The 24,324-nt window shown below is 39.4% G+C and overlaps 1 annotated feature.

Annotated features, from left to right (window-relative positions):
• Positions 4,656-5,220: an enhancer, noted in NCBI's record as "OCT4-NANOG hESC enhancer chr4:139476624-139477188 (GRCh37/hg19 assembly coordinates)". NCBI's record gives its function as "activates a minimal SCP1, AML or CMV promoter by ChIP-STARR-seq in naive H9 embryonic stem cells {active_cell/tissue: H9 hESC(naive)}" and the evidence as "EXISTENCE:reporter gene assay evidence [ECO:0000049][PMID:30033119]".

The raw sequence follows: 24,324 nt of genomic DNA, 5'->3' as shown, positions 1-24,324 counted from the left end.
CGGGGAGCGCGCATGCGCACGGAGCTTGCGCTGGCTCCTAAGTGCAAGTCTGGGCCTCTGGGAACCAGGAAGAGCAGCCGCGACTTGGCTGCGCCTCCTGGCGGCCACGCCAGCACTATATTTGGATCTATTAATCAGCATTTCCATGTTCCTTGTGAGATGTGAGCCCATTTATATTAATATTGTTTCAGTCCCTCATGTTACCAGAAGTGTTATGCAAAGGGGTAGAAAGCTGTGCAAAGAGCTGGGCTTTATTCTGTAGGTCACAGGGAGCCGCAAAAGACTTTTGATTAAGTATATAGATAATCAAATCTATATTTTAAAGAAATTAACTCAGGAGCACCATAAAGAATGGATGGAAAATGGAAAGATCAATGACATGGAAACACATTAGAATGCTATTCAAAGTGTCTAAATCAAAGATAGTTGAGAGACTGACCCAAGCAGTAGAAACAGAAGAGAGAGGATAGATCTGTGAGAAAAGGAAAAGTCACACTTACAAAACATTAAGACTTATTACATAAGAGGGAAGAGAAGTCCTAGACTTCTGACCTCAGCAATGAGGAGAATATTTGGCTGGATTTATAATATAGATGCTCCTCTACTTACCATGGGGTTACATCTCAATCAGCCCATCGTAAGTTGAAAATACTGTTAAGTCAAAATGCATTTAATACACCTAACCTACCGAATTTCATAGTTTAACTTAGCCTACCTTAAATGTGCTTGCATTAGTTTATAGATGGGCAAATCATCTAATACAAAGCCCATTTCCTAATAAAATGTTGAATATCTCATGTGACTTGTTGACTACTGCACTGGAAGTGTAAAACAAAGTGGTTATAGGTTCTGACTACTAATGTACACAGCTGAAAGTGCCATCATAAAGTCAAAATATCCCAAGTTAAACCATTGTAAGTCAAACCACTGTAGGTCAAGGACCACCTGTACTTTCTTGGAAATACAGGTTATCACTGACTACAGGCATGGCATTGCCCCATTCCTCTGCTACAAATATCTCAACTTATGATGGTTTCTGGTAAAAACCAAGATTGTGGTGTAGCAGAGCGAGTAGGTAGTGGAATTAGCTGGTGGACTCACTTCTGGCTCAAAGATAACGCTTAACAATCCTATTTAGTGTGTTAGCTTAAGTATACTCGAGCTAGTAGAAATATTCTGCTGTTGTGAATTCCACACTTATTCAACTGTCAGGAACTGGGGCTTGGTTTCTTTAAACACACTCGTGTTAACTGCATTCTCTGGTCTCCAGATTCTTATGTGATGGGAGGTTAGTGGGTTTTCTAGGTGAGTAGCTTTTTCTTTTCTCTGTCTGGGAATATAATATGTGGTCTATAGGTGGAAAAAAGTGAAATTAAATGATACTGTACAAATCGACTGAAAAAAAATACTACTGTATGTTAGCAGTTTGTGAACATTTTGTGCTGACAAAGCTCAGCAAGCCTGGACAGAAATACTTGCACAAATCTGATTATAAGGTTTCTCTCACTGAAGCAGGAACTGGCTCAGCAGAGGGAATCAGAAGAATAAACTGATATAATTTATCCTTTTCCTGTTTCTCTTGAGAAGAGATGCTTGGTAGGAAATCCACAGATATTTCACCATAAGATTCCAGTGCAAACGCATAGTTTCTCTGTTTGATATAATTGCTTCTGCATTCTAGAGACAGGGGAAGAGTAATGCTTCAGTCAAGCTGGTTGAGTCTCATCAGAGATTATCTTCATCAACATAGGCTCTTTACTTGCTTGCCCCACTTCTTTCTTCCAACTGCTTTTATTTCCTTTAGGGATGAAACCCATTAACTCTAGCAAATGTTAAAAGGCTTGACTTTTTGACTTGAAAAAGATGATGATTAAAAACCAGTTTATATATTTTCCAAGATGAGGTCTCCAATTTAGCTCTGTGCTCTGAGGATAGTCAAAATCGCATTGCAGAGCTCTCTAGGAAGCTTTGTGGTCGAACTCAACAACATTTTAAGTTGCGAAAACTATAAAGAGCAATATATATACATTTTTAAAAGCAATCCTTCTGAAGGGCATCCCTTTATGAATTGTGATCAAAGAAACCTGGGCTGGGAGTTAGGAGACCTAGATTCTGATCTCTCTGTCATTACCTATCACTGTGGCCTTAATCAAGGTCCATAACCTCTTGGGGTCTCAGTTTCTTCATTCATAAAATGAGGGAGACAGATTAGTGGCTCCAAAATGCTGGTCAGTAGAGGAGATGCATTCAAACGCCTGAGAAACTCTGAAAATTTTCTAGTCAGAATTCTCAAAGATTTTGATTTGTAAACCTGGGGTATATGTTAGTAATCTTTAGTTTATAAAAAGCACCCCTGAGAATTCAGGTATGTCACTAAGATTGGGAAGCATGATGGAGGTGATTTTGAGTTTGCTTTGCTCTTTTATTGTTGAAATTTTTATTTTGAAAAAAAATTTCAAGCCTGAAAGAGTTCCAAAGGAGCAAAAGGAATCTGTACATATTCTTCATCTGGGCTCGTTAATTGTGCTCTCACTCTCCCTTTCTCTTTCCACACACACACACATATTATATATGTGAATGTGTATGCATTTTTTTCTGAAACATGTGAGATTAAACTGTATACATCATAATACTTCACCTCAAAACATGTCAGTATGCATCTCCTTAGAATAAGGATATTCTCTTTTATAATTGCAGTACAAAGATCAAATTCAGGAAACTTAACATGGTTACAATGTTAATGTCTAGTATATTGTTTCCCACAAAGACTGTCCTACATAAACATAGTGTAAGCATCAAATAGAGAAAATTAATATTGATAATACATTACCAGTATTTAATCTTCTGACTCCATTCAAGTTTTGTCAATTGCCTCAATAATATCCTTTATAGAGAATCATCCAGTTCAGAATTATGTGTTTTATCTAGTTGTCATATCTCTTTAGTCTCTCTCGGTTTGGAAGAGTTTCTCAGACTTTCCTTGACTTTCATGACCTCGATATTTTTGAAGATTGCAGGCCATTTATTTTGTAGAATGTCCTTCAGTCTCGGTTTGTTTGATATTTTCTCATGATACAGTTTAGACATGTTTGTCAGGTACATTGCCGCAGCCCTATATTGAGACAGGTCTCCAAATGGTTCCAGTTTATTTTTATTTTTATTTATTTTTTGTAAGGAATGGTACTCAGGGACCCAGATATGGGCAACAGGCATACTTGTTGCTGTTGGCATATACCTCCCAGCCTTACGGAATGTGTATGTGTATGTGTATGTATATGTGTTATGTGTGCGTATATATGTATTGTATATAATATATATTCACAGATACCATCTCATTGACCCCCCCCACATATTCAAATGCATATTTACATTATATTTATTTCTTTTTTCTCTATATATATTGAAAAACATGGGTTCACATGGATACTACCAGTTCTCCTTCAACATTACAAAGATCATTTTAGTTTTCTTCTTTTCCATATTTGAAACCCACTTCTCCAATAATGAGAAACCAGGAACCCATCATCCTTATCTATTTATTTACATATTTGATCACCCTTTGTATGTGACCAGTTTCCCATCTCCACTGCCATTTCCTTCACCTTCACCCTGGTTAGGCTCTGACACCTCAATACCACTTCCTCCCTCCTCCATTAGCTGAAAACCCTTATTATCCTACTCATACCCTCCTGATACCCTGTAAAAGGCCACCCCTGTGGATGCCCTCCTGCCCTTGCGAGGACTCTGACACTGCATATTACATACTTCTCAGGCTCTGACTCCACGTTTTGGGCTGTTCCTCCCCCTGCTAGAGCTCTGATATTCCACACAGGCTGCCCCCTCATGGGAACACTCTTTCACCCTGCTTGTGCTGTGACATCCTTGGGCCCTGGGAGCTATTCCTACTCTGGCATGGGTGCCTACTTGTTCTGCCAAAAAGGAAGGAGTGTACCCATTCCACTCTCTGCAGTTTAACATTAGAGAAGGTAAACTAGGAAGTACAGATTTTCTTTTTCATTCACCCCAAATCCAGGATTGTGGGGGAGCATTAGAGGCTGTTTAATTAAAAAGAAAAAAGAATCATAGAATATCAAATAACCTGGAGAAAGAAATGATTGATGGACAAAATTTCATTATATTTGAGCACTTAGTTTATTGTTACTCAGAAAAGGCCACCTCTGATTTAGGATTTTTAGAGAACACATTGCCAAACAGTGGTCTGGGAAACTTATTTGGGGCAGGAAGTATGGCACAATATCAGATTTCTTTAACAAGGACTTAAAATTTGGAAGTGTGAACTACTTTATACTAACAAAAAGAACTGTCTTTATCTTCCTTAAAGATTTACCTTCAGAAAGTGACTTTAGTGGTAAAAGAATGGATTTTATTATAAAACAGGAAGAAATTGTGACCTTAAGAGGAGTGACATTAGTATGAGTAACTATAGAAGGTGGAGATCGTCTGTGGAGACTTTTGAAAAGAGAGACAACTCAGAGGGATAATCTGGAGGCTGGATGAATCCTCTGGTGTTTTGTACCACTTACACCCATACCAGGTTGATGCTTATAAACAAAAAAGCTGGGTTGTTTTAAACACTGGAAGCCTTATACAGGTTCTCCTTTAGGTTATTTGCTGTATAGATAAATAATACACTTCGATAAAGACAGTAATTATAAAACCATGGTTACTGTAGTTGCAAGTTATTTATTTGCTTATTTATTTGTTTGTTTTTAAGGTATGATATTTTATTAGTCAGGGCACTATCAAATAACCTCAATGTATGTTTTAGTTTATAGAGAATCCATGTGATCCTGCCTTAGCTCCAATTACTAGTAACCAGGGCTGCCATTTATGGCCTCACAAATAGTGCCTGCGTAACTCCAGGGGGCACTGTTCACAGAGACTGTGATGTGAATGGCACCCCTTGGAGTTGCACAATGAAGCAGCTCTGAAAGTAATACATAATCTGCCATCACTGGTCTGCTTCCTGCATGCTTGAGTGGCAGAGGAAAAGGGCTTGGACCCAGAAAAGGAAGATCAATTATTGCCATTGGCTGTAGATGGTGCATATTGACTTGTTCCTTCTCAAGCCCAAATCTAGAGCTCTTTGAATAGATGCAGATGCACTGCTGCTGAATATGTATGTATGTGAGCACCCTGGCATTTAAGAACTTTGTACATCAATAAGAGGAACAAAAAAGAACCAGCTTTTTGCAGTGTAATTACATTTTACTGAATTAGCAAAGTAGCATGACCTTCGAGTTAGTCTTTGGGATACCAGGAGAATTGCATCTTTGCCAGCCAGCCCGCCTGCCCTGCTGATGCAGCATCTGTAGAACTCCGGGGAGTCCATTTTGAGCATGTTAAGGAGGAACTCTGCAAGATTAAATCCCTCCTTCCATTAACAATAATGGAAACACTTTCTGTAAAGCCAGTCTTAACCAGCAGAGGGGATTTGAAACATTTGGCAAGGTCACTTCTGGCAAATAGACTGAGTTTGAGTCTTGCCCTGTGGAGGCCATCGCTAACCACAGGCGATGGCTACCCTGGATTTCACAGGGGCACTGCTTTAGTTGGTCTATTTTAAATGGCATTATTAGTTCATTTTGAGTCTTGCATTTTGTACATAGGTTAAGAGAATTAAGTAACTAACATGTTTCTCTGTTTAGTGACAACTAGATATTGATAGTAAGACAGAAATGGTAACTAACATGTTTCTCTGTTTAGCGACAACTAGATATTGATAGTAAGACAGAAATGATAGCACTTGTTGAGTGCTTGTCATGTGGCATGCACTACTATCGGCTCTTTCATGCATGATCTTATTTACTCCTCACATCTACCCTCTGAGAGAGTTCTTCACATCTAAGAGTTTTCAATTGTAAGATGCACTGTTATTTAATACAATACAAAGAAAGAAACATCATTTAAGATAGGAGAACGTTCTATAAATCCAGGACAACAAAGGGCTATCTCTACCCTCAGGATAAGGGTAAATGAAAATAAATCCATCACCCAGAAGGGTAAAGCAAGAGCACTTGCATGGCTCAATCTTTGCACTGGATTCAGGAAGGGTAGAAAATTCTGGGCAGGAGCACAATAAAATCCTCTTTGGCGAAACCCAACTACAGGTTAGCCTGATCGCAATTGTTAAGACACATCCTGATTTCAGAAATGTTAAAATGTGAAAACTTTTGTCTTTAAATTTTTGAAATACGTATTTTTATAAGCTCCATTTTACAAAAAAGAAAAGTGAAGCATAGAGAGGTGAAGCCACTTATCTAAATTTACTAAGTGGGAGAGCTGGGATACAGAGCCTATGTACTTGAGCCCTATACTTTTCCACTTCTAGAAGATGACAATAGCCTAGTGTATAAATAACGTGTTATGAGGAAACAATTGTATATACTAGTTATGTGTGCCATAAAATAAAGGAAAGAACTTCATACATAAGGATGGAGAATTAGACTGGGTTTCTTAGGTGTAATATAAAATAAATGAGAATGGCCAGAAACTTGGCATCCTATATTTGGTCCCTCTCATCATGCTTTTGCCAGAGACAATTTCAAATTTTCCAGAATCATATTTTTCCCCTAAAAAAGAGAGTTTTTCTTTGATGCTATTGTGGCTGTTAATTAGAAAGTAAAGCACATAAATGGGAATAAATTTTTTCTCCACTTTTCTTTATTGCTGTTTGGCAAAGGACATTCTACATATTTCTTAGGCTGAAAATATTCACTCTGTCATATACTGTGACTTTGTGAAGAAGATCCTCAGTACTCAAGACTCATAGTTAGATAACACAGCACATGTTTTTCTCATAGGAAGTATTGGAAATGAAAATAATTAGGAGAATGGTTATTTTTAAAGGTGACATTTATCTCCTCAAGGTATTTTTCTTTCTTTCTCTTAAGATTTTTAAAATTATTTATTTTAAGTTGTGTCCGGAATTGGTGGGTTCTTGGTCTCACTGACTTCAAGAATGAAGCCGCGGACCCGCGGTGTGAGTGTTACAGTTCTTAAAGATGGTGTGTCTGGAATTTGTTCCTTCTGATGTTCGGAGGTGTTCGGAGGTGTTCGGAGGTGTTCGGAGTTTCTTCCTTCTGGTGGGTTCACGGTCTGGCTGGCTTCAGGAGTGAAGCTGCAGGCCTTCGCGGTGAGTGTTACAGCTCTTAAGGTGGCGCGTCTGGAGTTGTTCGTTCCTCCCATCCAGAGGACAGTCGGGGAGGCTCTGGCCCCGCGGGAGCCCACTGGTGGGGGTGGGGGAGAGCTCGGGCATGGCGGGCTGCAGGTCCCGAGCCCTGCCCCGCAGGGAGGCGGCTGGGGCCCTGCGAGAATTCGAGTGTGGCGCGGGCGGGCCGGCAGTGCTGGGGGACCCGGCGCCCCCTCGGCAGCTGCTGCCTCGGGTGCTAAGCCCCTCACTGCCTGGGGCAAGCGGCACCTGCTGGCCACTCCTGGTGCCGGGCCCGCCGAGCCTGTGTCCACCCGCAACTCGCGCTGGCCCACGAGCGCTGCGTCTCTCCTTCCACACCTCCCTGCAAGCAGAGGGAGCCGGCTCTGGCCTCGGCCAGCCAAGAGGGGCTCCCACAGTGCAGCGGCGGGCTGAAGGGCTCCTCAAGTGCAGCCAGAGTGGGTGCCGAGGCCGAGGAGGCACCAAGAGCAAGTGAGGTCTGCCAGCACCCTGTCACCTCTCACCGGTATACATGTGCAGAACCTGCAGATTTGTTACATAGATATATGTGTGCCATGGTGATTTGCTGCACCTATTGACTCATTGTCTGAGTTCCCTCCCCTTGCCCCCCACCCCTCAACGGCCCCTGGTGTGTGTTGTTCCCCTCTCTGTTTCCATGTGTTCTCACTGTTCAACTCCCACTTAGGAGTGAGAACATGCGGTGTTTGGTTTTCTGTTCCTGTGTTAGTTTGCTGAGGATGATGATTTCCAGCATCCATGTCCCTGCAAAGGACATGATTTCATTCCTTTTTATGGCTGCATAGTATTTCATGGTGTATGTCTACAACATTTTCTTTATCCAGTCAATCATCGATGGGCATTTGGGGTGATTCCTTGACTTTGCTATTGTAAATCATGCTGCAATAAACATATGTGTGCATGTGTCTTTATAGTAGAATGATTTACATTCCTTTGAGTATATACGCAGTAATGGGATTGCTGGGTCAAATGGTATTTCTGGTTCTTGATCCTTGAGGAATCACCACACTGTCTTTCACAATGGTTGAACTAATTTTCATTCCCACCAATGTGTAAAAGTGTTCCTGTTTCTCCACAGCCTCTCCAGCATCTATTGTTTCTTGACTTTTTAATAATCGCCATTTTAACTGGCGTGAGATGGTATCTCACTTTGGTTTTGATTTGCATTTCTCTAATGATCAGTGATGTTGAACTTTTTTCATATGTTTGTTGGCCATGTAAATGTCTTCTTTTGAGAAGTGTCTGTTCATATCCTTTACCAACTTTTTGATGGGGTTGTTTGCTTTTTTCTTGTAAATTTGTTTAAGTTCCTTGTAAATTCTGGATATTAGACCTTTGTCAGATGGGTAGATTGCAAACATTTTCTCCCATTCTGTAGGTTGCCTGTTCACTCTTTTTTTTTTTTTTTTTTTCTTTTTTTTTTTTTTTTTTTTTTTTTATTATACTCTAAGTTTTAGGGTACATGTGCACATTGTGCAGGTTAGTTACATATGTATACATGTGCCATGCTGGTGCGCTGCACCCACTAATGTGTCATCTAGCATTAGGTATATCTCCCAATGCTATCCCTCCCCCCTCCCCCGACCCCACCACAGTCCCCAGAGTGTGATATTCCCCTTCCTGTGTCCATGTGATCTCATTGTTCAATTCCCACCTATGAGTGAGAATATGCGGTGTTTGGTTTTTTGTTCTTGCGATAGTTTACTGAGAATGATGGTTTCCAATTTCATCCATGTCCCTACAAAGGATATGAACTCATCATTTTTTATGGCTGCATAGTATTCCATGGTGTATATGTGCCACATTTTCTTAATCCAGTCTATCATTGTTGGACATTTGGGTTGGTTCCAAGTCTTTGCTATTGTGAATAGTGCCGCAATAAACATACGTGTGCATGTGTCTTTATAGCAGCATGATTTATACTCATTTGGGTATATACCCAGTAATGGGATGGCTGGGTCAAATGGTATTTCTAGTTCTAGATCCCTGAGGAATCGCCACACTGACTTCCACAATGGTTGAACTAGTTTACAGTCCCACCAACAGTGTAAAAGTGTTCCTATTTCTCCGCATCCTCTCCAGCACCTGTTGTTTCCTGACTTTTTAATGATTGCCATTCTAACTGGTGTGAGATGATATCTCATAGTGGTTTTGATTTGCATTTCTCTGATGGCCAGTGATGATGAGCATTTCTTCATGTGTTTTTTGGCTGCATAAATGTCTTCTTTTGAGAAGTGTCTGTTCATGTCCTTCGCCCACTTTTTGATGGGGTTGTTTGTTTTTTTCTTGTAAATTTGTTTGAGTTCATTGTAGATTCTGGATATTAGCCCTTTGTCAGATGAGTAGGTTGCAAAAATTTTCTCCCATGTTGTAGGTTGCCTGTTCACTCTGATGGTAGTTTCTTTTGCTGTGCAGAAGCTCTTTAGTTTAATTAGATCCCATTTGTCAATTTTGTCTTTTGTTGCCATTGCTTTTGGTGTTTTGGACATGAAGTCCTTGCCCACGCCTATGTCCTGAATGGTAATGCCTAGGTTTTCTTCTAGGGTTTTTATGGTTTTAGGTTTAACGTTTAAATCTTTAATCCATCTTGAATTGATTTTTGTATAAGGTGTAAGGAAGGGATCCAGTTTCAGCTTTCTACATATGGCTAGCCAGTTTTCCCAGCACCATTTATTAAATAGGGAATCCTTTCCCCATTGCTTGTTTTTCTCAGGTTTGTCAAAGATCAGATAGTTGTAGATATGCGGCATTATTTCTGAGGGCTCTGTTCTGTTCCATTGATCTATATCTCTGTTTTGGTACCAGTACCATGCTGTTTTGGTTACTGTAGCCTTGTAGTATAGTTTGAAGTCAGGTAGTGTGATGCCTCCAGCTTTGTTCTTTTGGCTTAGGATTGACTTGGCAATGCGGGCTCTTTTTTGGTTCCATATGAACTTTAAAGTAGTTTTTTCCAATTCTGTGAAGAAAGTCATTGGTAGCTTGATGGGGATGGCATTGAATCTGTAAATTACCTTGGGCAGTATGGCCATTTTCACGATATTGATTCTTCCTACCCATGAGCATGGAATGTTCTTCCATTTGTTTGTCTCCTCTTTTATTTCCTTGAGCAGTGGTTTGTAGTTCTCCTTGAAGAGGTCCTTCACATCCCTTGTAAGTTGGATTCCTAGGTATTTTATTCTCTTTGAAGCAATTGTGAATGGGAGTTCACCCATGATCTGGCTCTCTGTTTGTCTGTTGTTGGTGTATAAGAATGCTTGTGATTTTTGTACATTGATTTTGTATCCTGAGACTTTGCTGAAGTTGCTTATCAGCTTAAGGAGATTTTGGGCTGAGACGATGGGGTTTTCTAGATAAACAATCATGTCATCTGCAAACAGGGACAATTTGACTTCCTCTTTTCCTAATTGAATACCCTTTATTTCCTTCTCCTGCCTGATTGCCCTGGCCAGAACTTCCAACACTATGTTGAATAGGAGCGGTGAGAGAGGGCATCCCTGTCTTGTGCCGGTTTTCAAAGGGAATGCTTCCAGTTTTTGCCCATTCAGTATGATATTGGCTGTGGGTTTGTCATAGATAGCTCTTATTATTTTGAAATACGTCCCATCAATACCTAATTTATTGAGAGTTTTTAGCATGAAGGGTTGTTGAATTTTGTCAAAGGCTTTTTCTGCATCTATTGAGATAATCATGTGGTTTTTGTCTTTGGCTCTGTTTATATGCTGGATTACATTTATTGATTTGCGTATATTGAACCAGCCTTGCATCCCAGGGATGAAGCCCACTTGATCATGGTGGATAAGCTTTTTGATGTGCTGCTGGATTCGGTTTGCCAGTATTTTATTGAGGATTTTTGCATCAATGTTCATCAAGGATATTGGTCTAAAATTCTCTTTTTTGGTTGTGTCTCTTCCCGGCTTTGGTATCAGAATGATGCTGGCCTCATAAAATGAGTTAGGGAGGATTCCCTCTTTTTCTATTGATTGGAATAGTTTCAGAAGGAATGGTACCAGTTCCTCCATGTACCTCTGGTAGAATTCGGCTGTGAATCCATCTGGTCCTGGACTCTTTTTGGTTGGTAAACTATTGATTATTGCCACAATTTCAGAGCCTGTTATTGGTCTATTCAGAGATTCAACTTCTTCCTGGTTTAGTCTTGGGAGAGTGTATGTGTCGAGGAATGTATCCATTTCTTCTAGATTTTCTAGTTTATTTGCGTAGAGGTGTTTGTAGTATTCTCTGATGGTAGTTTGTATTTCTGTGGGATCGGTGGTGATATCCCCTTTATCATTTTTTATTGTGTCTATTTGATTCTTCTCTCTCTTTTTCTTTATTAGTCTTGCTAGCGGTCTATCAATTTTGTTGATCCTTTCAAAAAACCAGCTCCTGGATTCATTGATTTTTTGAAGGGTTTTTTGTGTCTCTATTTCCTTCAGTTCTGCTCTGATTTTAGTTATTTCTTGCCTTCTGCTAGCTTTTGAATGTGTTTGCTCTTGCTTTTCTAGTTCTTTTAATTGTGATGTTAGGGTGTCAATTTTGGATCTTTCCTGCTTTCTCTTGTAGGCATTTAGTGCTATAAATTTCCCTCTACACACTGCTTTGAATGCGTCCCAGAGATTCTGGTATGTGGTGTCTTTGTTCTCGTTGGTTTCAAAGAACATCTTTATTTCTGCCTTCATTTCGTTATGTACCCAGTAGTCATTCAGGAGCAGGTTGTTCAGTTTCCATGTAGTTGAGCGGCTTTGAGTGAGATTCTTAATCCTGAGTTCTAGTTTGATTGCACTGTGGTCTGAGAGATAGTTTGTTATAATTTCTGTTCTTTTACATTTGCTGAGGAGAGCTTTACTTCCAACTATGTGGTCAATTTTGGAATAGGTGTGGTGTGGTGCTGAAAAAAATGTATATTCTGTTGATTTGGGGTGGAGAGTTCTGTAGATGTCTATTAGGTCTGCTTGGTGCAGAGCTGAGTTCAATTCCTGGGTATCCTTGTTGACTTTCTGTCTCGTTGATCTGTCTAATGTTGACAGTGGGTTGTTAAAGTCTCCCATTATTAATGTGTGGGAGTCTAAGTCTCTTTGTAGGTCACTGAGGACTTGCTTTATGAATCTGGGTGCTCCTGTATTGGGTGCATAAATATTTAGGATAGTTAGCTCCTCTTGTTGAATTGATCCCTTTACCATTATGTAATGGCCTTCTTTGTCTCTTTTGATCTTTGTTGGTTTAAAGTCTGTTTTATCAGAGACTAGGATTGCAACCCCTGCCTTTTTTTGTTTTCCATTGGCTTGGTAGATCTTCCTCCATCCTTTTATTTTGAGCCTATGTGTGTCTCTGCACGTGAGATGGGTTTCCTGAATACAGCACACTGATGGGTCTTGACTCTTTATCCAACTTGCCAGTCTGTGTCTTTTAATTGCAGAATTTAGTCCATTTATATTTAAAGTTAATATTGTTATGTGTGAATTTGATCCTGTCATTATGATGTTAGCTGGTGATTTTGCTCATTAGTTGATGCAGTTTCTTCCTAGTCTCGATGGTCTTTACATTTTGGCATGATTTTGCAGCGGCTGGTACCGGTTGTTCCTTTCCATGTTTAGCGCTTCCTTCAGGAGCTCTTTTAGGGCAGGCCTGGTGGTGACAAAATCTCTCAACATTTGCTTGTCTATAAAGTATTTTATTTCTCCTTCACTTATGAAGCTTAGTTTGGCTGGATATGAAATTCTGGGTTGAAAATTCTTTTCTTTAAGAATGTTGAATATTGGGTTGCCTGTTCACTCTGATGATAATTTTTTTTTTTTTTTTTTGCTGTGCAAAAGCTCTTTAGTTTAATTAGATGCCATTTGTCAATTTTGGATTTTGTTGCAATTGCTTTTGGCATTTCCGTTATGAAGCCTTTGCCCACGCCTATGTACTGAATGGTATTGCCTAGGGTTTCTTCTAGGGTGTTTGTGGTTTTGGGTTTTACATTTAAGACTTTAATCCATCTAGAGTTAATTTTTGCATAAGGTGTAAGGCAAGGTTCCAGTTTCAATTTTCTGCATATGGCTAGCCAGTTTTCCCAGCATCATTTATTTAACAGGAGAGCCTTTCCCCATTGCTTGTTTTTGTCATGTTTGTTGAAGATCAGATGTCGTAGATGTGTGGTGTTATTTCTGAGGTCTCTGTTCTGTTCCCTTGTTTTATATGTCTGTTTTGGTACAGTACCATGCTGTTTTGGTTACTGTAGCCTTGTAGTACAGTTTGAAGTCAGGTAGTGTGATGCCTCCAGCTTTGTTCTTTTTGCTTAGGATTGTCTTGGCTATATGGGGTCTTCTTTGATTCCATATGAAATTTAAAGTAGTTTTTTCTAATTCTGTGAAGAGCGTCAGTGGTTGTTTGATGGGAACAGCATTGAATCTACAAATTACTTTGGGCAGTATGGCCATTCTCATGATACTGATTCTTCCTATCCATGAGCATGGAATGTTTTTCTATTTGTGTCCTCTCTTATTTCCTTGAGTTGTGGTTTGTAGTTCTCCTTGAAGAGGTCCTTCACATCCCTTGTAAGTTGTATTCCTAAGTATTTTATTCTCTTTGTAGCAATTGTGAATGGGAGTTCATTCATGATTTGGGTCTCTGCCTGTCTATTGCTGGGGTAAAGAAATGTTTGTGATTTTTGCCTGGGCGCAGTGGCTCACACCTGTAATCCCAGCACATTGGGAGGCTGAGGTGGGCAGATCACGAGGTCAGGAGTTTGAGACCAGCCTGGCCAATATGGTGAAACCCGTCTCTACTAAAAATAAAAAAAAATTAGCCGGATGTGGTGGCATGCACCTGCAGTCCCAGCTACTTGGGAGGCTGAGGCAGAAGAATGACTTGAACCCAGGAGGCGGAGCTTGCAGTGAGCCGAGATTGTGCCACTGCACTCCAGCCTGGGTGACAGAGCAAGACTCCATCTGGGAAAAAAAAAAAAAGAAATGTTTGTGATTTTTTGCACATCGATTTTGTATCCTGAGACTTTGCCGAAGTTGCTTATCAGCTTAAGGAGTTTTTGGGCTGAGATGATGAGGTTTTCTAACTTTAGAATCATATCATCTGCAAACAGAGACAATTTGACTTCCTCTCTTCCTATTTGAATACCCTTTATTTCTTTCTCTGGCCTGACTGCCCCGGCCAGAACTTCCAATACTATGTTGAATAGGAATAGTGAGAGAGGTCATCCTTGTCTTGTACCGTTTTCAAAGGGAATGCTTCCAGCTTTTGCCCATTCAGTATGATATTAGCTATGGGTTTGTCATAAATAGCTCTTATTATTTTGAGATATATTCCATCAATACCTAGTTTACTGAGAGTTTTTAACATGAAGGGATGTTGAATTTTATTAAAGGCCTTTTGTGCATTTATTGAGATAATCATGTGGTTTTTGTCTTTGGTTCTGTTTATGTGATGGATTACATTTATTGATTTGCATATGTTGAACCAGCCTTGCATCCCAGGGATGAAGCTGGTTTGATCATGGTGGATGTTTTTTGATGTGGTGCTGGATTCAGTTTGCCAGTACTTTATTGAGGATTTTTGCATCAATGTTCATCAGGGATATTGGCCTGAAGTTTTTTTGTTGTTGTTGTTTCTCTGCCAGGTTCTGGTATCAGGATGATGCTGGCTACATAAAATGAGTTAGAGAAGAGTCCCTTCTTTTCAATTGTTTGGAATAGTTTCAAAAGGAATGGTACCACTCCTGTTTGTACCTCTGGTAGAATTCGGCTGTGAATCTGTCTGGTCCTAGGTTTTTTTTTTTTTTGATTGGTAGGCTATTCATTACTGCCTCAATTTCAGAACTTGTTATTGGTCTATTCAGGGATTCAACTTCTTCCTGGTTTAGAGTTGGAAGGGTGTATGTGTCCAGGAATTTATACTTTTCTTCTCAATTTTCTAGTTTATTTGTGTAGAAGCGTTTATAGTATTTTCCGATGGTAGTTTGTATTTCTGTGGTGTCAGTGGTGATATCCCTTTTATCACTTTTTATTGTGTCTATTTTATTTTTCTCTCTTTTTTATTACTCTAGCTAGTGGCCTATTTTGTTAATTTTTTCAGAAAACAAGCTCCTGGATTCATTGATTTTTTTGGAGGCTTTTTCATGTTTCTATCTCCTTCGATTCTGCTCTGTCTTCTGCTAGCTTTTGGATTAGTTTGCTCTTGCTTCTCTAACTCCTTTAGTTGTGATGTTAGGGTGTCAGTTTGAGATCTTTCTGGCATTCTGATGTGGGCATTTAGTGCTATAAATTTCCCTCTTAACACTGCTTTAGCTGTGTCTCAGAGATACTGGTACGTTGTCTCTTTGTTCTCATTGATTTCAAAGAACTTGATTTCTGCCTTAATTTCATTATTTACCTAGGATTCATTCAGGAGCAGGTTGTTCAATTTTCATGTAATTGTGTGGTTTTGAGTGAGTTTCTTAATCTTGAGTTCTAATTTGATTGCACTGTGGTCTGTGAGACTGTTTGTTATGATTTCACTTCTTTTGCTTTTGCTGAGCAGTGTTTTACTTCCAATTATGTGGTCAATTTTAGAATAAGTGACATGTGGCACTGAGAAGAATGTATATTCTGTTGATTTGTCATGCAGAGTTCTGTAGATGTCTATTAGGTTCACTTGATCCAGAGCTGAGTTCATGTCCTGAATATCCTTGTTAATTTTCTGTCTTGTTGATCTGTCTAATATTGACAGTGGGATGTTAAAGTCTCCCGCTATTATTGTGTGGGAGTCTGAATCTCTTTGTAGGTCTCTAAGAACCTGTTTTAGGAATCTGGGTGCTCCTGTATTGGGTACATATATATTTAGAATAGTTAGCTCTTCTTGTTGCATTGATCCCTTTACCATTATGTAATGCCCTTCTTTGTCTTTTTTGCCGTTTGTTGGTTTAAAGCCTGTTTTATCAGAGACTAGGATTGCAACCCCTGCTTTTTTTTTTTTCTTTCTATTTGCTTGGTAAATTTTCCTCCATCCCTTTATTTTGAGCCTACGTGTGTCTTTGCATGTGAGATGGGTCTCCTGAATACAGCACATCGATATGTCTTGACTCTTTATCCAATTTGCCAGCCTGTGTCTTTTAATTGGGGCGTATAACCCATTTACATTTAAGGTTAATATGTTATGTGTAAATTTGATCCTGTCATCATGATGCTCTCTGGTTATTTTGCACACTAGTTGATGCAGTTTCTTCATAACATCATTAATCTTTATATTTTGGTGTGGTTTTTGCAGTGGTTGCTACTGTTTTTTTTCTTTCCATATTTAGTGCTTTCCTCAGGAGCTCTTGCGATGTAAGCATGGTGGTGATGAGTTCCCTCAGTATTTATTTGTCTGTAAAGGATTTTATTTCTCCTTCATTTATGAAGCTTAGTTTGGCTGGATATGAAATTCTGGGTTGAAAATTCTTTTCTTTAGGAATGTTGAATATTGGCCCTCTTTTCTGGCGTGTAGGGTTTCTGCTGAGAGGTGTACTGTTAGTCTGATAGGCTTCCCTTGTAGGTGACCTGGCTTTTCTCTCTGGTTCCCTTTAACGTTTTTCCTTCATTTCAACCTTTGAGAATCTGATAATTTTGTGTCTTGGGGTTGATCTTCTCATGGACTATCTTAGTGGTGTTCTCTGTATTTCCTGAATTTGCATGTTGTCTTATCTTGCTAGGTTGGGGAAATTCTCCTGGATAACATCCTGAAGTGTGTTTTCCAGCTTGTTTTCATTATCCCTGTCTCCTTCATGTACTGCAATCAATTTTAAGTTTGGTCTTTTTATGTAGTCCCATATTTCTTGGAGGCTTTGTTAGTTCTGTTTCATTATTTTTTCTCTAATCTTGTCTGCATGCCTTATTTCAGCAAGGTGGTCTTCAAACTCTGATATCCTTTCTTTCACTTGGTTGATTCGGCTATTGATACTTGTGTATGCGTCTCGAAGTTCTTGTGCTGTGTTTTTCAGCTCCACCAGGTCATTTATGTTCCTCTCCAAACTGGTTATTCTAGTTAGCAACTCCCCTAACCTTTTATCAAGGTTCTTAGCTTCTTTGCATTGGGTTAAAACATGTTCCTTTAGCTAAGAGGAGTTTCTTATTACTCATCACCTGAAGCCTACTTCTGTCAATTTGCCCATCTTATCCTCCGTTCAGTTCTTCACCCTTGCTGCAGAGACATTGCAATCATTTGGAGGAGAAGAGACACTCTGGCCTTACGGGTTTCAGCATATTTTCATTGATTCTTTCTCATCTTCATGAGTTTGTCCAGGTTTGATCTTTGAGGCTGCTAACCCTTGGATGGGGTTTTTGTGGGGACTTTTTTGTTGTTGTTGATGCTGTTGTTGTTGCTTTCTGTTTGTTTGTTTTTCTTTCAAAGGTCAGGTCCCTCTTCTGTAGGGCTGCTGTGGTTTGCTTGGGGTTCAATACAGGCTCTATTCATCTGGTTTGCTCCCGTGCCTGGAGATGCCACTGAAAGAGGCTGGAGAATAACAAAGATGGGTGTCTTCTCCTTCTTCTGGGATCTCTGACCTCAAGGGGCACAAACCTGATGCCAGTAGGATCAATTCTGTATAGGGTGTCTGACAACCCCTGTTGAAGGGTCTTGCCTATTTGGGTGGCATGGGGAACAGGACCCGTTTAACAAAGCACTTTGACTGTCCCTCGATGGAGGTGGTGTGCTTTGCTTGGGGGATACTCACTCATCTGGGCTGCCTTGATTCCTCAGAACTACCAGGAGGAAAGGGTAAGTCTGCTGGTCCACAGAGACTGTGGTGACCCCACCCCCTAGGGGCTCAGGCCCAGGGAGCTCAGGTTTCTGTCCCTGAGCCTCTGGCTAGAGTTGTTGGCCTTCCTGCAGGGAGGCCCTGCCCAATGAGGAAGGATGAGTCAGGGTCAGGCCTGAAGAGGTGCTCTGGCTGCAGTCTGCCACAGCTGGTATGTTGGGCTGTGGGGCACACCTCTTGGAACCAAGCTGTCCAGTCTCCCTGGCTCCAGCAGGGGAAAAGCATGGATTGGATCTATAGAGATGGATGCTGTCCTTCCCCCACCCAGGGAGCTTAGCATGTTAGACAGTTATGAGTCTCAGTGCTGGCTGTTGCCCCTCCCACAAGGAGCTTAAAAGGCTTAGACATCAGGCAGCCACAACTCTGGTGCTGATCCCCCTCCCCCAGAAAACTCAGCAGGCTTAAGCAGATTCTAGCTGAGAGACTGTTGAGAATCTGCATGCCTCCAAGTTTGGGACCCTAGGCCTCAGTTGCATGGATTCACCAGTGGGATCTTCCGATCTATGGGTTGCATGGTTCCATGGGAAAAGCATGTTTTCCCTGGCTGGGTAGCATGCTTACTCACCACCTCCCTTGGCTAAGGGGTGGGGGCTCCCCTGCTCCATGTGGCTCTCAGGTGGGCCACTGCACCACACTGCTCTTCCTTCCTTTCCGTGGATCATGCCGGCTGCCTAGTCAGTTCTGATGAGAGAACCTGGATACCTTGGTTGCAGTACAGGATTCACAACTATTATGGTTCTTTTCTATGGGAGCCTCTGATCGCCACTGCTTCTAGTCAGCCATCTTGGCCCTGGCCCACTGAAGGTATTTTTCTAGACCCTAATTTTATTTCTTAATTTTTTTTTTACGTGAAAATATAATAAAATTATATCATTTTTGGTTTGCTTCGGGATGCTCTCATATTAGTATTTAAGCAAAATTTTCAGAAAAATAATATGATTATGGGACTATATGAGGAAATTGGACTATGTAAAGACTGAGATGCCGCTCAGTCATTCAAATTAATAGCATTATTGCTTCTGGTTGAGATAAACAGAATTCATTAACTCCTGCCAAATAGGAGCAATTTCTGTAGTTTTATTTTTAAACTTCTCAAAGGCGAGTGACCTAATGGTTTCACATGTTTGTGTTATTACGCTTTTATTATAGGAAACATTTTTACATTTACGTTATTAATAGAATTTTTGTCTAATTATGAAGGCATATTAGTGGGTCTTAAATGTTTCCTAAAATGTCTCTAATTTTAGGCATAACCTAGTGATTATTTTTTGTTTCCTTGTTTATTCAGTGTCAAGTACTTACTTAAATGGGCACTGGATATGTAGTGCCAACTAACTAAATACTTCTAGGATTCCATATATATTTTATTTGTGAACACTTATTACATGCCAGTCACTGCTCTCTGGCAGTAGAGACATAATCGTAGAGAAGGTGTAGTTGTTTCTTATTAGGATGTTACTGTCTATGTGGCTTGCCCTGGACAGAGTGACAGAGTACTAAATGACACCCTACTACTCTTCTCACTAGAAGAATGTAAAAATATCCTGCATTCTAGGGTAGAGACATATGTAAATGATTATCATAAATATGAAATGCACTAAACTAGGGTTTATATAAATTTATACATTGCTTGCAGGATGGAAAATGACCTGTGGTTTAAGTAGGGTTGATAGAAGTTATTTGAGCAAGGCTGTCACAGAAGAGTAGACATTTACCCAGTAGAGTGGCAGACCCAAGTGTGAACAGCTATAGTGTGTCTTTGTGAGGATGCATAGCCAGCAGGGGATGCAGTGCATAGGCTGGGATATGGGGACCGCTGGTGGTGAGTGTGCAAGGCAAGGATCAGATTAGCAGGAACTTCATATCCTATACCAAATATGATGGTAATTGTAATTTCAGTAAATCTTTCCAGCCTTTTTAGAATTGTTTTCGTTTCTATTTACCTTATCTCAGTTTTGTGAGTTTTTGAGTTTTTGCTAATGTTGTTGCTTTGTGAAAGAAAACCCCCATAGAGAGGAATTTTCTAGTGAAGGGTTTATATGCCCTGGGGCAAGCTGGAGTGGGCAAAGCTCATTGAGCTTATGGTTTTCAAAACACACACATGATTTAATAGTTAGGAAATGTGCCCAGGAACAGGAAGCACTAAAATACTGAGGGATGGATGCTGAAGTTTCTGCCTGTACTTGCAGGACATTTGGTATCTTGGGAAGGGGGAGAAAGTACTAATGAAGGATGCTGGTGGAATTCTCTGTTTCAGACTGTCATCCTGAGGAGTGTAATGAAGCATACAATCAAGTTGTTAGAGTTTGAAAAGGTTAAAGCAGCTTCAGGGATCACTATTTGTGCTTCTTGGGTACTGGAACGTCATGCCAGTAATAAGCGATATGCAAGCCAAAGACAAAGAAGCAATTAGTTCTCTGCATTGGTGAAAGGCTGCCCAGCTACAGAGTGGATGGGGAAGGCCGTGAATTCTTTTCCTTTGAGGCTGAACTGAGTCACAAAGACTCAAGCCAGTGGTGAGTAAATCTTGTCAGCCTGTCAGTAGCATTTATTGGGTTTCCACCATTTGCTTATCATATAATTAGGTCTAAACAAGTCCTCAAAAGTTTAGAATACATGTTCTATGATGTCAGTAAGTAGCTTGGAGTCAGTAGCCTAACCAAAGTGTACTATGCTTTTGTCAAGACTTAGATTTGGAGTAGACTATATATCTTACAAAACAATACTTTTGACTTGATCAGTAGCAATGAAACTACGAGGGTAGGTAATTTCATGTTGACCATACATTTCTTTCAAGTTGTTGAAATGTTTAAATATTTCACCAATGATTTTGGTGCTTCTAGGATTCCAATTGCATTTTATTTGCGAACAGCTATTATATGCCAGTCACTGCTTTCTAGCAGTAGAGATATAATGGTAGAGAAGAGTTAGTTAGTTCTCTTCAGAATGTTACTGTCTATGGGTCTTGCCCTGGACAGAGTGACAGAATGCTAAATGATACCCTGGTACTCTTCCCACTAGAGAAAACACAGGAGAAATATCTCTGGCAGATCCACCACCGAATCTGTAGAGAACAATCTCTTAAGGCATGGCAGACTCAGAATCCTAGGAGTAGTGGGGCTAGATGGGGGCTCCTCACTACAGTCATTGACCTTGTAAAACCTTCTACTTCTCTAACTTTAAAGTGTACATAAATCACTGTGGGATCTTGTGAAAATGAAGATTCTTATTCTGCAGATCTGGGATGAATCCTGAGATTGTGCATTTCTTCTAGGTGATACTGATGTTTCTGCTCTGTAGACCAAACTCAAAAAATTCCCATTGCATGGAAATATCCTTAGACAAACACTTGACTATGCTATAAATGACTTCAAATCAGTTTTTTTAATTAATAATACATAATGTGGTAAAGTAATAAGGAAAAAATATCCTGGCAAGGTAGAAAGATGTAGTCTCAGAAATACAGTAGTGTGGAAGTGACCTTTCTGAGAAAATAAATCTTGGGGAGGAAACTACAATGAAAGAAGCAAGAAATATTATCAATCAACATTAAAATATGAATGCAGATGAGGCATGTAGCCTGAAGATGACAGTAGATAAATAGCATTTTTTACTCTGGAATTATAAATTATCTTTCATGCCAGCAAACGTCTGTGTTTTCCTGGGTTTCTTGGTTAGTATAGCTTACTGAAAGGGAAACAGAACGTGTAAGCTTTTAAAAGGTAGCAGAAATCATGAGAGCTGCAAAGTCTTCACTAGTATTTGTGCTACTCAGCAAATTTATTATTTGATTCACCTATCCCAAGTTGACACCCTTGGGGGAGGGGAAAGTAGAATTTTTGCAGAGGTAAGTTTCCTAATGACTTTAAAAAATAGATTTACCTTTGGGACTGTTAGACCTAATTGTAAATAAATTCTTGCTGCATTCACATCAGCAGTCCTGGATTAGTTAAGAGCTTTGCTTGTGTGTGCCAAAAACATTTTTCAAAAATGGCTGAAACTATGTAATCAGCAACTTTGAGTTTGATAGAAAATTACACAGAAATCAGGACCCATTTCTCCTTGTCCTAGCACCCTGCACTCAACTACATGATGACTCTTCCTCCTAAGGAAATATTCATTATATCTTCTAAATGCTTACAGATTATTACCATGCTTGCATTTGGCACACTGAACACATTTTGCTCCTTTTCTCTTGTAATCCTTTTTTTGTTTTTTGCATTTTAAATCAGATATCAATACTTCTAGTTCCTGTGATTTTTTTTTTCCCCTTCGAAGTTACAGCAGCTACTCTTTATGAAGACAAAGTACAAGAAACTTTTCCCTTTTGAATGAAGTCTGGAACTTGCTGAAAATACGTCCTTGTACAATGATTTCAACTTGGCTGACTACAACACTGGTGTCCACTGAGGGTTGATGCTTTTAGAACTGAATAGGAACTCAACTCCCTAAACACATCTGAGAAAGGTCTAAAACCAAATCTTCCTTTAAAATATAGATCGTATCTCTGTGTAGTTGTGTTTCTGTACCTTTTAAAAACATTTCCTTTAGGAGTAGACATCAGTAAACAACAGTGAATAGAACAACAAAAAAGTTAAAATATTCTTCAGACCCCTAGGGCAAACACATGTCATTGAAAAAAATCACAATACAGAGAACATGGGTCTAAAAAACATATTATTATCCTATTTTTTCCAACTTTCATAAGGGCAAGATCCTCTTGTAAATACAGGAAGTTTATATTATTACTTCACTCTACAGTGATGTTTCTCAAAGTGTGGTACACTAACTTGGAATGTTTGTTAAAACTGCTGATTCTTGGGCCTCACCCCAGACCTTCGGAATGAAAGTCATTGGATTCTGTATTTTCCATAATCATCCCTAAGTAAATCTTATGTAACTGAAGTTTGAAAACTATTAGCAAACTAGGTAAGAAAGAAAAGTCTACTTGAAGCTTTCCCTGGGAATAGCAAGGAAGCTCTTTAAAGAAGTCTAGGTATTAATTAGCTAAAAGTGCCATATATCTACTCATCTCACCCTAAATTTTTTTTCCTTTTATTTTTTAGTTGACATGTAATAATTTTGTATATTTATGGCATACAGTGCATACAATGTGTAAGGATCAAATCAGGGTAATTATATCCATCACTTAGAACATTGATCATTTGTTTGAGTTGTGAACATTCAATATTCTCTCTTCTAGCTTTTTGAAAATATACACTAAATTATTGTTAACCATATTCACTCTAGAGTGTTAAATAACACTAGAACTTATTCCTCCCATATAGCTGTAACTTTGTATATTTTAACTAGTCTCTCCCTATCTTCCTCTCCTGCCACCCTTCTCATCCTCTAATGATAATAGAGGATAATAATACTATAATAATAAATATAGCTCATAATACTTCTATGAGCTATATTTTTTAGCTCCCATACGTGAGTGAGAACACATGGTATTTATCTTTTTGTGTCTTTCTTATTTCACTTAACATAATGTCCTCCAGGCTCAACTTTGTTGCCACAAATGACAGGATTTCATTATTTTAATGGTTGAATAGTCTTCTATTGTGAATATATACCACATTTTCTTTATCCATTCATCCACTGATGGACATTTAGATTGATTCCATATCTTTGCTATTGTGAATAGTGCTGCAATAAACATGGAGGTACAGGTATCCCTTTGACACATTGATTTCCTTTTCTTTGATAAATACCCAGTAGTGGGATTGCTAGATCATATGGTATTTTTAGTTTTTGGAGAAACCTACATACCATTGTCCATAATGGCTGTAGTGGTTTAATTGGCGCCAATAGTGTTTAAGAGTTCTCTTTTTTCTGCATCCTTACCAGCAATTCTTATTTTTTGCCTTTTTGATAATAGCTTGTCTACCTGGGGTGATGTGATGTTATTTGTATATATGTTTAGATATAAATATATTGGTAAATGTAAGTAAAGTGTTTCCCTGAGTTTTGTGAGCTACTCTAGCAAATTAATCAAACCCAAAGAGGGGATCATGGGAACCCCAACTTAAACCCAGTTCAAGAGAAGTTCTGGAGGACAAATATATTTGTCCATGGTTTTTGGCTTATAACTCCCATATCCCTTGTTACCATTTTTTGTTGTAATGAAGCAGAATCTTAGGACTGTATTTAATTGTGGGTGATAAGACCCTCATTTAAGACAGGGTCCTGCCCCAAACGCTGGAGTAAGAAATGCTGCTCAGAGAGGCCAAGAAGAATCTGTAAAGACAGGCTTTGCTGGGTTTAGAACATACCTTTTACGTCCAGTCACATTTCTACGTGGTTGTCAATCATGCCTATCCAATGACATCTCCATAAAAGGTAA

This window comes from Homo sapiens, chromosome 4, assembly GCF_000001405.40.
Source record: "Homo sapiens chromosome 4, GRCh38.p14 Primary Assembly".
Lineage (NCBI taxonomy): Eukaryota > Metazoa > Chordata > Mammalia > Primates > Hominidae > Homo > Homo sapiens.
Note: the sequence above shows the minus strand (reverse complement) of the source record. Positions and strands in the feature narration are given on the sequence as shown.